The 13408-nt window shown below is 46.0% G+C and overlaps 1 long non-coding RNA gene across 1 annotated transcript; it reads left to right on the top strand.

The window, feature by feature from the left end:
- The first annotated feature begins 2572 nt into the window (after nucleotides 1-2572).
- On the top strand, nucleotides 2573-6691 carry LOC124901429 (uncharacterized). Its single transcript, XR_007059810.1, has 2 exons — nucleotides 2573-2951; nucleotides 6171-6691. It is a non-coding gene; the product is annotated as an uncharacterized LOC124901429 (long non-coding RNA).
- Nucleotides 6692-13408: the final 6717 nt, after the last annotated feature.

Raw genomic sequence — 13408 nt, 5'->3', positions numbered from 1 at the left:
AAATTCATTTTTCTTTCGTATAGAAAATCTCAGCATCTAAGACCTCCAGATGTCAATGGAAATCCTTTAAAAGAGGTGGTAGAGGGCTGGGCACAGAGGCTCATGCCTATACTCCCAACACTTTGGGAGGCCGAGGCAGGTAGATCACGAGGTCAGGAGTTCGAGACCAGCCTGGCTAACACAGTGAAACCCTGTCTCTATGAAAAATACAAAAAATTAGCTGGGCATGGTGGCACGTGCCTGTAGTCCCAGCTACTCAGGAGGCTGAGGCAGGAGAATTGCTTGAACCCAGGAGGCTGAGGTTGCAGTGATCCAAGATTGCGCCACTGCACTCCACTCTGGGAGACAGAGTGAGACTAGCTAAAAAACAAAAAACAAAAAAAAGAGGTGGCAGAAGGAAAACATTAGGCACAGCTGTCCTATCAATATTACCAAGCTGTGATAATATCTGTGCAATAACCTGTGGACGGCCTCATGGCTAGTGGAAAAGAAGCACCTGGAACCCATTAGAGGCGTTCATCATCTTCATAAAACCTGACCCCAAAGCAATTTATAATTTGTCTTTACAATGAAGGCAGAAGAAATTTTTGCAATGTTTGATAATGACCAACATGGCCTCTAAGTGCCACATGGAAATAAAAAGGAAGACAAATTATCAGAGGAGGATGACATGGCCTTAGTTTGCCCTAATGAAATGATCACTTATTAGGTTAAATCAGTTGTGTCACTTTAGGAAGCAGAAAAAGAATCAGTGCTTAATTCACCCAGAGTGAGAGCTGATCCTTGGTAACAGGTGACATGAAAATGCAGTCTAACTTTCTCAGTTTCACAGCATGGGAGTTAACACTTAAGACTTCATCTGCTCAAAAGGTGTCCTTTATCATCTGAGAGAAGAAACTTTTTTTTTTTTTTTTTTTTTTTTGTGACGGAGTTCAGCTCTGTCACCCAGGCTGGAGTGCAGTGGCGTGATCTCGGCTCACTGCAACCTCTGCCTCCCAGGTTCAAGCAATTCTCCTGCCCCAGCCTCCTAAGTAGCTGGGATCACAGGCACGTGCCACCACACCCATCTAATTTTTGTATTTTTAGGAGAGACAGGGTTTTGCCATGTTGGCCAGGCAGGTCTCGAACTCCTGACCTAAAGCGATCCACCCGCCTTGGCATCCCAAAGTGCCAGGGTTACAGGCATGAGCCACCCTGGCCAGCCAGAAATCTTCTTTATTGCTAAGTTTATTAATAATTCACCTTGACTTTTCCAGTCTATGAATTATCTAAGCAGCTTGCTTGTCTCTTTCTCAGTGGAAAGCCTCTATCTGCAAGGCTCTGTGTTTCCTGGAATTTTGAGTTAAAAGAATGCAAGAGAACTTGCACAATGTCTATAGAACTAGAGATCTGAGCAAGCTATGGGATGAATTCCCACATCCTTGGGTTGAGGGATACAGTTTCGTGTTTTTTAAATTGAAAAGGTAGATGCAAGTGTCAGGAGGCCCCAGTAGCCAGTGTCCTTCTGGTAGTATGAGGGGGTGGTGGGTATCCACCTCTGGCTGAGCAGAATGGGTGACAGCCTACCATGCTTGCATTTCTCCGTCTACGTATTCCTGGTAGACTTGCGAATGATTGTGTGAGGAGGGTTGATCTAGCAGAGATTTCCAGAAGGCACTAAGGCATCCAAGCAGGAAAATAAAAGTGTAACTTTCTCTTTCCACATCTTCCTGAGCATGGAAGGAAAATGCAAACAGGAGCTTCTTATTTCCACTTCATCAGGTACTCTGTGTTCTCTTCATTTTCTGTCCTCCGGCTTTTAAAACAAGTTCAAAACCACATAAGCAATACATTTAGGTGTACAAAAATACAAGTGCAATGCTGGAGTGGAGTGATGTGATCTTGGCTTACTGCAACCTCCACCTCCAGGGTTCAGATCCTCCTGATCCTCCTGCCTCAGCCTCCTGAGTAGCTGGGATTACAGGCATGCACCACCATGCCTGGCTAATTTTTGTATTTTTAGTAGAGACGGGGGTTTCACCATGTTGGCTAGGCTGGTCTCGAATTCCTGACCTCAAGTGATCCGCTGGCCTTGGCTTTCCAAAGTGCTGGGATTACAGGCGTGAGCCACCGCGCCCAGCCACAAGTATGCATTTTCTAAATTTGTAAATATATGGAAATAAATTCTGGAAGTATAGACGACAGACTGATATTGAAGGTCCACTCGATAGAGAGGATGGGGGAGGATGTGGGGAGGGCCGAGGCTGGAGCAGGGGTCCGTCAAAGGGGACTTTGGCCTTATTTGTAACATTTTAATATTTTACTTGGCGAATAGTTTGTACTAAATGGCCTTATTCCCAGAATCCTCTGCGGTCTTGCCAGTGATTCTTACACTTCGCATTCCCCACTTACGCATCCAGTTGAATCATTCAGGTTCTGGGGGTGCAGTGTGTGTGTTCTGAACAAAGGATTATGCCATTAACAAAAGAGAGCAGCCCACTGAAGTTTGATGTCATTAGGATGGTAACAATCCCCACGGAGTCTTTCCACAAATAGGTAACAATACCTTCTCTCCCTCCTCTAGGAGAGTGCCTTCCTGGAGCCTGATTTCTGGTTCTGAGCGGAAAGCCATTGTCCCAGGCTCCACTCAGTCTAGTTGCAAGTGCAGATCGGAGGCTAGGAAAGTCCCCTCATCCACTTCGCACAGAGGAATTGATTCTCGGAACCAGAGGAGAAAGGCAGGAGGCAAAACACAGAAGGCAGGGAGACCCCTTCACCCCGGCCTTCCTGCTTCCTGCGCCAGCCTGGCCACACCCTCCTCCCAGCCCAGCCCCAACACCGCACTTTCTCCGGGTCCTGTCGTTCTTCTGTGTGCACCTCGTACTCCAGCCAAAGGAAAGTTCCTCCTGTTTCCAGAACGTTCGCATGCTTTCCTGCAGCAGGTCTTGTTCACGCCTGTTCCTCTGCCTAAGGTAATCCTACCAGTCCTGCACGGCCACCTCTAATGCTGTCTCCAAGAATGTTTAGTCTCCCTTAGCCTGCCCACCAGATGTCCTTTCTTTGTGGTCCAACCCCCCTCACCACCTGAGGGCCCCCCATGTCTCGTGAGAAGTGCCCTTGTCTCCTCCTCCTGTCTCCACGGGGAGAGAGTGTAAGCCCCGTGAAGGCAGGGTGGTGCGTGACTCATCCATCCATCCTTCCTCCTTCCCATACGCCAGTCCTTATTCCAGGATTTGGAGATGTAAAAATGGACAAAAGATTGCCCCTATTCTCCTGGAGCTCATCTTAGGGACTCAGATAATTACCAAAGTCAGGGAAGGACCGTGGGCCCCTAGCCTCCAGGTTGACAGCTTCTACCTACTTGAGCATCTCGAGGAGCATGCAAGCCCGGCCTCTTCTTTGCATTCACTATATCTCAAAACTGAGAGGAAGCCTCATTCTCCACAGCGCCAGGGCCCTGAGTAGAAGGTGGGAGGGGAGCCTACCTTTCCAGTGCAAGAGGGAACGGAGGCCCATAAATTATACAGAGATGAGCGGTTCAGTCACGTCAGCACAAAGGAACACCTTCCATCTTCCTCGTGTAGACACTGGGGGAGAGGCTGAGTCACTACATGACTCTGTTCCCTGGGTGCGTGCATGTGTGTTTATGTGTGTGTGCATGTCTGCATGTGTGGGCACATGTGTATGTGCACAGGTGCATATGTCTGAAGAGAAGCAGCTGTTGGAAAGCCTTGGTGTGATGAATTGTCACCCTGTGTGCCTCCCTGGGAGGGTCAGAAGGGCCTGGTTCTGGGCACAGGGCCACTGGGTCCTGCTGGCCCTTCCCCATTGGTGGTTTTAAGGACTGCTCCTATCTCAGGATGGAGGGGAGTGGAGAAGCCAGTCCCCCCTGGCCAGCTCCTTGCTGTGGGCACTCCCTAAAACATCTGTGGCCTTTGGGAGAATGAAAGAGAAATGAGCCGCAGCCATGCGGTATCCCGGGGGCTGGCAGGTGAGCACAAGATGGGTCAGGATGTAGTTCTGGCTGTGTCAGTGTCCGAGAAGAGGGACCATTCTGTGGGCCTTACGTAAACCACAGCACAGGGGACTCAGCTTCTGGCTAAGAGAGTGAACCCCTGGAGTCCAAGGGCCTGGGTTCAAATCTTGGTTCTGTTATCTACTTGCTGAGAGCCCTGCAGCAGCTACTTTAATGGCTCCAGGCTTCCGTTTTCTCATCTGTGAAATGGGAAGAGCAAATAGACCTCCCTCAAAGAGTTGCTGTAAGGCTTAAATGTAAAGGACTTTGAATAGTACTTGACACAGAGTACGTATGCAAGAAAAGGTAGCTGGGTTTTGTTGTTGTTGTTGTTTTGTTTTTGAGTCAGAATCTCACTCTGTTGTCCAGGCTGGAGTGCAATTGTGTGATCTTGGCTCACTGCAACCTCTGCCTCCCAGGTTCAAGGCTGATTCTCCCGCCTCAGCCTTCTGAGTAGCTGGGATTACAGGCATGCACCACCATACCTGGCTAATTTTTATATTTTTAATAGAGATAGGGTTTCACCACGTTGGCCAGGCTGGTCTCGAACTCCTGACCTCAGGTGATCTGCCTGCCTTGGCCTCCCAAAGTGTTGTGATTACAGGCATGAGCCACCGTGCCCAGCCTGGTTTTTTTTTATTATAGTAGGACACAATAAATAGGAGATGGCACCTCCTACTTGTCTATCTAATACATACAGACCAAGTTCAGCCATATGTGGTGATAGCATTAGAGAACATCCCGCCTTACACGGCAGTGCTTTCTCCTCCTTTGAGGTGACTCCACCTCTCCCACCCATCTCCCCCACGCAGATGTCCAGCACCCTCTGTTGTCTTCTTGGCTGGCCAGGTAAGGCACTCTTACTGTACCTGTCCAGGGAAGCCCACACCAGACAGAAGCCCGACTCTGGAGTAAGCATGAGTAAGCGCGCCCCTTCGAACCTCAGAAACTCTTTGAGGCCAGAAGCAGTGTCTAACTGCTTCCTTCCTCTTTTTGTTCACAAAAATCTTTTAACCACTCCCTCTTCTGTGTCAGATGCATAAATAGTTGTTCTCTTCTGTACTATCTTCTAGAAAGTTGTTCTAAGTTGGACATGAGCTAGAGTTAAATCATGTCCATGAGAGAACATTGCTTGTCATTCTAGCCTGGTACTCTTGCCTTATTTAATTGATGGTGACATTTTAGGGATCACAAGTAGGCAAGAGAGAGAAATTTGGGGGGCAGGAGGTGTAAAGCTGGTCTAGAACAATTCCCACTCGCACTTAGAATCACCTCACGAAGCAACCTCGGACCCCACTTTAGTAAAAGCCACCCACGGTGCTTAGATCTGTTGAAGAAACATCATCTCCTGCACCCAACAAAGGCGATCTGACACAAAATTAGTGTGACCTGTTTCAATCAGTTGTAAGTAATATTTTTATGTCCTAAAGCAAAATATCTGTAATGCCCTGAAATTTTGAACAAAAATAAGATTTTGGTTTTGGTTTATACACATAAGCACAAAGCTACCTCTTTTCAGGGGTTGAACCTTTATATTTGTCTTAATTGCATTTTTACAAATATGATTTGCCCATATTACAGCAGATTTGTAAAGGGGCAGGTAAGCAAAGATGAGGAAGACAAGAAATAAATAAGCTGGGAGGCTAAAGAAAACTAACATGAGTACCGTATGCATGATGGTTTAGTAGCAATTTTTCATAAGCATTTCATTTGAGGCATAGAGCAGGTAAGTATTCTCCTACTCATTCTACAGATGGAGAAATCAAGGTGCAGGGGGGTTATATGGCTCTTCTTCAGAGCTTGAGGCTTTTTGGATGCCACACTTAGTGTCTATTCATACTGCCTCTCGTGGAAGGGAGCGAGGGGTAAGGCTGGGGAAGAAAGGGGTGCAGATGAACTTGGGGTAAATGCAGAAGACTGCTGGCACTGGGTCAGCAGGGGACAAAGCCAGAGCAGTTGTTGCAAGCGCCACCACCACTCCCGGAAAAGGCTGACAGGGCAGCCACCTGTGCACTCCTGGTCTGCTCTCAGCCCACTCTCTGTGAGCTCATCCCCACTGTGTGAGCTGATCTGACCCACTCACCAGGAAACACCTCACTGCAGTCGCCTCCAGCACCCCTTGCAGAGAGGCCCCTCTACCACTGCTCCCTCCTCCTGTTTCTTATGTTCTCCTCAGAAGCCACCACCCAGGACTTTGCAATGAAGGTTTTGATTTCGTCTGAGATTGCCCCCAGCCCCCCTGCCTGGGGCCCTGCCCTGCTCCTGCTGGCTGACATCGCTGGCCACTGCTCCCTGAGCTGGGTCAGTGCACAGCCTGGAGTGATTCCTGATGACGCTGGGAAATGGACCTATGACCCCTGCTTGTGAAGGGTCAGTGAACTTTCTGGTGGTGCACAGGGTGTCAGAACAGTGTCAGCAGGGCCAGCGGGGGAAAGTGCTGACAACTGTAGGCCCAGGCAGGACCGGCTCCTCCCTCGGAAGACTGCAAGCAGTGATAGCCATCTGTCCTTATCTCCGCCCCTCCAGCTCCCACAGCCATCCAGCTGACTTCCAATAGACAAATGGAAGTCAAGGGTGTCTGAAATTAACCAGTCATCTTCTCCAGGCCATTTTCTCATGGAAAGGGATTAACCTAAAGAAGGATGTGTGTTTTCTGGAAGGATAATAAATCTCTGCTCCTCTTGGGTTTTTCCTCCATTTTTCTCTTCCTTTTGTTACTTACACTCTTGCACCTATTCTAGGCTTTTCCACTTATATTTACTTTTCTATTTATACATTGAATTGAATACACAATTATGCTCTCATAGTGTATCTCTAAATACTACTCTATTCAAATACTATGTGTTAAAGTCTGTGCCAGGCACTGTCCCAAATACAATGAGAATTGGATCTGGTACACAAATAACCTCACTACAGATAGGGGGCAATAAATGTCATAAAAGGGATGCAAAGACATGGCTATTGGGGTGTAGACAAGAGTAGACCACTAGCAGATGAAGTGATTGGAGATGGTCAGGAAAATATGACATTTTAGCTGTGCAGTGAATTGGGTAGTAATAGGCAGAGAGAGTACAGCATTGAGGTCTTTTGCAGGATCTGGTGCAAAGTGGACGTTCCACAAATTCCAGGCAGAAAGGACAGCATAGGTAATAATGTAGAGACACCAAACAACAAGCAGCCTTGTTTTTACTGATGAACTGATTCGTTTGGGAAATGTTTGCTACTGTGCAGCAGGCATGGTTCTCAGTGTTAGGAATCCAGGAATAAACTGAGCACACAAAGTCCCTGCCCTCAAGGAGCTTGTGCTTTAATAGCAGGAGAAAGACACGAAACAAATACCATAATATGCCAGGTGCTGTTAGGCACTGAAAATAAAATTAAAGCTGGCCAGGTGCAGTGGCTGACGCCTATAATTCCAGCACTTTGGGAGACCGAAGCATGCAGATCACTTGAGTCCAGGAGTTCTAGACCATCCTGACCAACATGATGAAACCCTATCTCTACTAAAAATACAAAAGTTAGCCAGGTGTGGTGGTGCACGCCTGTAATCCCAGCTACTCGGGAGGCTGAGGCATGAGAGTTGCTTGGACCCAGGAGGTGGAGGTTGCAGTGAGCTGAGATCATGCCACTGCACTCCAGCGTGGGCAGCAGAGTGAGACTGTGTCTCAAAAAAAAAAAAAAAAAAAAAACAAATAAATAAATAAAAGCAGGATAAGGGGCAGAGAGTGACAAAGGACATATTTTTAAGAGGGTCATCAGGGAAGCCCTTCTAACAAACAAAAATCTTCTGGAAGTGACAGGGGCCACCATGCAGGTGTTGGGGGATGTAGCACCACAGGTGGAGCGACTAGCACTCTTAAAGGGCCTGCAGAGGGAACAGCAGAGTGTATCCAATGAACACAAATGAACCAACGTGGCAAGTTACCAAGCAGGTGAATTATAGAGATGAGGTTAAAGAGACCCTCAGGGCCAGATCATACGGGGCTTGGTGCACCACAGTAATGACTTGGGATTTTATCTTGAGAATGTAGAGCAAAGCATGAGCTCATTCACGTTACTGAAGGACAACTCTGGCTGCTGCAAGGAGAATTGACTATAAAATAGGTTGAAGCTGGGGATCAGCTATGAGTTGTAGGGGGTACCTTTTCCTGGAGTGTGGTACATGAATCCAGTATATAAGTTTATTTTTCCAGGAAATAAATCTAGAGAAGTAACTTGGAACCAGACCATGAGGGTTCCATCTTGAGAGCCAGGTTAATAAAATTAGACTTGGTTTCACTGACAGTGAGGGTCCACTGGGAGATTTCAGCAAAACAAAACGATCATTGTTTAGTTTCTGAAAGATACAAGGGAACTCTGGGCTCTGCCCCTGAGACTTGAGTGATGTGAGTCCTGCTTCTACCAGTCATCAGCTCTTAAACCTTGGGCAAGCATTGAACCAGCCTAAACTCTTGTTTCATTATCTGTGGTTAATTCATCTGTTCCTTTGCTCGTTATACTGCACAGGGCTATTAGGAGGACAATGTGGTAGGAATACACATGCAAGCCTTCGGTAAACTGTGGCACAGAATTAGGCTTCAAATCCTGGCCACTCGGACTCTGCTGTATCCTGCAGCCTGGACAGGAAGACTTGTGAGTTCTCTGGAGAGCTTATAGATGCTGCTACAGGCTGCTGCAATGCTAGGAGGAGGGATAGGTGTGGGAGATGAAAGATTGCCCTGGTGCAGGAAGAAGCAGTAGAAGGAGCACTGTTACAGGAGACATGGAAATCTCTGCCAAAAGGAAAGAAACCAAATGAATATCGCAGTTGGGGACGGGGCAAAGAAAGGCTATACCAAAGAGGGCTGTTGAAGTCAGAAACCTGACAGCTTGGATATTATAACTGAGGAATAGGAAAGAATCAAACGGTAGGGTTTTTCACTTCAAAGACAGGAAGCAGGATGAGTGATGACAGATAGGGGACCTATGGGAAGGGAGGTCATTTAGGAGGGAAGATACTAAGCACTGGGCATTTGCAGCCCACAGCACCACCAGGACAGATAGTGAGAGCGATCTCATAAGCAGCTGGGCACAGGGGTTGGCGCCCAATCTGTGTTGAGTTTAGCTGAATTGACTGTAGTCACATAAGAAAGTAACACTGGAGATGACGATTTGGATGGCGTCATAGAGTAAATGAAGGGTCTGCAGAGGAGATGGGGGAGAAGAAAGAGAGCTAAAGATAGAGACGTGAGGGCCAGGTGCGGTGGCTCACGCCTGTAATCCCAGCGCTTTGGGAGGCTGAGGTGGGCGGATCACCTGAGGTCAGGAGTTTGAGACCAGCCTGACCAACATGGAGAAACCCCATCTCTACTAAGAATACAAAATTAGCCAGACATAGTGGCGCATGACAGCAAACCCAGCTACTCGGGAAGCTGAGAGAGGAGATTTGCTTGAACCTGGGAGGTGGAGGTTGTGGTGAGCCAAGATCACGCCATTGCACTCCAGCCTGGGCAGCACGAGCAAAACTCCGTCTAAAAAAAAAAAAGTCCAAGATCAAACAAGGGCTGGAAAGAATGAGAGGTCAATCAAACCACTGAATTCGAATTGGGGAGAGAGGGCAGGCAAAGAGTAGAGGGGAGAAAGTTGGGGGAAGTGAGAGACAGAGAGAGGAGGAAGAAGAGGAGAGAGAAGGAGATCAGAGAAGCTTTTGAAAGTGCAGGTCCCATCCAGAGGTGGTGGTGGGAATTTCAGGGATTGAAGAAGGGAATAAATGGGTGAAAGAGTGGGGTCTTCAAACACAGGCTTGAAGACTTGAGCAAGAAAACGACAGAGCAGGACAGAAGGCAAGTAGCTAGGGATATAAGTTTAAGCAAGGGATCGCCTTTTGGGATCCCTAAATGTATCAACAGAGAAAGAGAAGAAAAGACTAGAGGCGTCCAGCAGCAGCTGGCAGTCCTGAGCATGGAACTGGCCATCTGCACTCTAAGCAGGGATTCCTTCCCTGCAGGGTCTTGTATCTCTTGGTGTTTTCGACTTGGGGCAGTAATAAATTATATTAAAATATCTTATGTGACTAAATGTTCCCATTAAGGTAAACTGACATAAACAAATACTGATTTATAACCAGAAAATGAAAACCTTAGCATCATGAAATAATCTTTCTTTCATCCTTGTGCCTACATCAGCTGCTGACAATTCCCAAGACTTCATCACAGACCTTTGATCCCAGCCACTAATCTTAAATGGTTCCAGCCTCATTCTGGCACCTCATTCCTCATAGTTTTAATGAACTGGGGCCTCTTGACATCTCTTGGATATATGGCTCCATAGATCCCCCCCCTTCCAGAAACAAAGTATTTTGTTTTCATTATCAGCTGATGAATGAAGGAATTGACTTCCGAGCAGAATATACCCACGCACACTCACTCTGTGTTGATTTGGAATCAACAAGCTCTCCTGCTCAATGCTAAGGGAAGTAATCACATTTTAGAGTCTTGCAGTCTAAAACCTTGAAACTATAACCACAGTGCAATAAAAACCATACAGTTTTTCCCTATGGTTATGTGAGGTCTTTTAGGGGTGCCCTCCCCTGACCTATGTTTCACAACATGAAAAATCCATGATTTTCAGAGATTCAGTAAGTGTTCCGAGAATGGACTTTATTGTATCTTAAACATACATTCCTTTTACTCAGTTGTAGTCAACGAAGGATTCCTGAGATGAAGTGCATATGTATGTCTACACATTTTTGTTTGTTTGTTTTTAAGGCAGGGTCTTGCTCTATTACCCAGGCTGGAGTGCAGTGGCATGATCATAGCTCACTGTAACCTTGAACTCCTGGGCTCAAACAATCCTCGCACCTCAGCCTCACTAGTTGCTAGGACTATAAGTGTGCCCCAGCAAGCCTGGCTAATGTTTGTGTATGTGTAGGGACAGGTCTCGCCATGTTGTCCAGGCTGGTCTCAAACTCCTGGTCTCAAGTGATTCTCCAGCCATGGCCTCCCAAAAATGCTGGGATCACAGGTGTGAGCTGGCATGCCCAGCTATACACATTTTGAAAGAAAGCCACACATTCCTTTCATGGCTTAGTGAGAAGGACAAACGACAACAAAAATATGGACTGCACTGCTTACCTACAAAACCATAGACTGTTTTCCTTAAACTGATGTGAGCTCATTAAGATGCCTGATTCCTCTGGGACTTCGGGTCACCAGCTAATCACATCATATTTCAGTCCAACACTACAGACCAGTCTACAATTTCTAATCCCATTCTGCAAGTCCCTCCCCACACAAGGAGGCCCTGCAAAAGAGTCCACAGGCATTGAGGGACTTTCTGTCCATGACTTGGAATACTTATGCCTGTCTATGACGCTGGCACCATGACTCACTCCTGCTGTGAGATGGAGCCTCTCATCCTTTCACCAGCTGGCATGGAAAGACTGCTGTGCCTCCTTTCCAGGCCCCATGCCTGTCAACACGTCTGATGATAATGAACAAGCCACAGGTGAATTGTGTGCCTGCCTACTGGATGACAGCTTCTGTCAAGTCCCCAAGGGGGGAAGGCCTCTGCCATCATCCCTGATCCACAGGCTGCAAGATGGGGGAACAGGATGTCCCTGCCTGGATAGGACTCTGCCCTTTTGCTTGTTGATATGTGAGGTGCTATATGGCCCTCCATTAGAAAACAGAGAAGTGTTGGTTCCAAAAGGATTTATTTGCAAAAGTTTCTCTGACCTATACGTACAGATTTGGGAATAATTTGAATTTACATACACAAGAAAAAGCAGAGAAATGAAGCAATTATCCAAGGGGGAAAAAGATAGCTTTTGTTTGAAATGCTCAGATAATTGAAACCAAAATATGTATGTGGGGAGGAAAGGGCGCACTTGAATTACAAGGATAATTGCCCCAATTCACTGCATTACTTTGTATGTGTAGACACAAAAGTGTGCAGTATTTAAAGGATCCGTTATCCTCAGAAATGCAACCCCAGCCTTTGTGAACTCACTTTATGTTAAGAAGCAGTGTTCAGAAACCCTGGAACTCTGCCAGTACCATTGTTTGCAGTCCATTTCAGTGTCACTGAAGTCAGAGAGAAATTTGTTTTAAGGGTAATGTACTATGTTTTTATGATAGGGCTTCCACACTGAGGCGTGGGAAGTTGAGATTTCATGCTATTCATGACAAGCCTTTAAGCTCTGTCTTGTGAGAAGAAAGAAGTACATTAAGTGAAAGAGCAGTGCCTATAAAACAACTTTCAAAGGATTGCAGCATTTTAGTTCGTAGTATGTTAGCACAAATCTGTGACTAAAGATAGTATATTCATCTTTGAACTAAGATTTTGAACTCGGACAGGCAAATTCTCCTACATGGTCAACACTATTCAAACTGATAAGGATTATGTCTACAATGGAATCTTAAGAGTGTCCCTTGATAGCATAGAAAAGGTTGTTGTAACCTCTAACTTGTTTTTAAAAAAATCCTGGAAAAAATGTTTTCAGAAGAAAAAGGGAAATAACACTTTAGAAAGGGAAAACAAAACTTCTGGGGCAGGAAAATCAATTCTTTAAACATTTCTTTCTTCAGATGATGAATTTCTTAAGAAAAGCAAGGGGTAAAAAGAACAAGTCTTTTTGTGCAAATGAGAATCAATCCAGCAGAGCAAGATAAGATACATAAAGGTGAAATACAGCAATCCAACAGAACAGGGTAAAATACATGAAGATAGTTTTGTGTTAAAACCAGAACTATAGAGCCTGGAAGAAGATGAAAATAGTATTTCAGGAGACCACTTATTTATAAAAATGGAATTTGCTCTCCATTTTTTAAACTTCCTAATACTTATTCCTAGCATTTAAAAATGATTAACCACTTCTCAAGACTGAGTAGGAGAGACAGAAACATTGGCACACCATTGAGCTTCCAAGTTTGGAGCATGAAGGTTGACTCATGGACAAGGAGCTGTTGCAGGAAGTTGGATCCCAACCAACAGATTGAGGGGAGGGGAGAATTCTGCTTCCAGACAGCATGTAGCACCTGGAACCAGAAGAAAAATCAACATTCAGAGCATCCCAGGCCATGCTGAAGGTGGCTTGCAAAAGTAAGATTTTGAACTTGGACAGGAAAACTCAAAGACAGAGATGCTGGAAGCCAAGCCAATGCCTGTTCTTAGGGTAATGGTTGCAAATGTGGTTTTGGAGGCCAATTACCTGGATTTGCATCCTGGTGTGCTCACTCTCTAACTCTAAGTGGGGTGACTTACTTGGCCTCTCCAGATCTCATTTTTCCTGCCTATCAAATGAAAAAATGAAAACCTACCCCAGATATTGTTGTGAGTCTCAAATGGGCTAACACACACCAGGTGCTTAGAACAATGCTTCATACATAATAAGTGCTCAATACCGGCCAGCTCTGATTAGTTTATACTTGCCTG

This window comes from Homo sapiens, chromosome 6, assembly GCF_000001405.40.
Source record: "Homo sapiens chromosome 6, GRCh38.p14 Primary Assembly".
NCBI lineage: Eukaryota > Metazoa > Chordata > Mammalia > Primates > Hominidae > Homo > Homo sapiens.
This window is presented reverse-complemented; position numbering and strand designations above follow the sequence as displayed.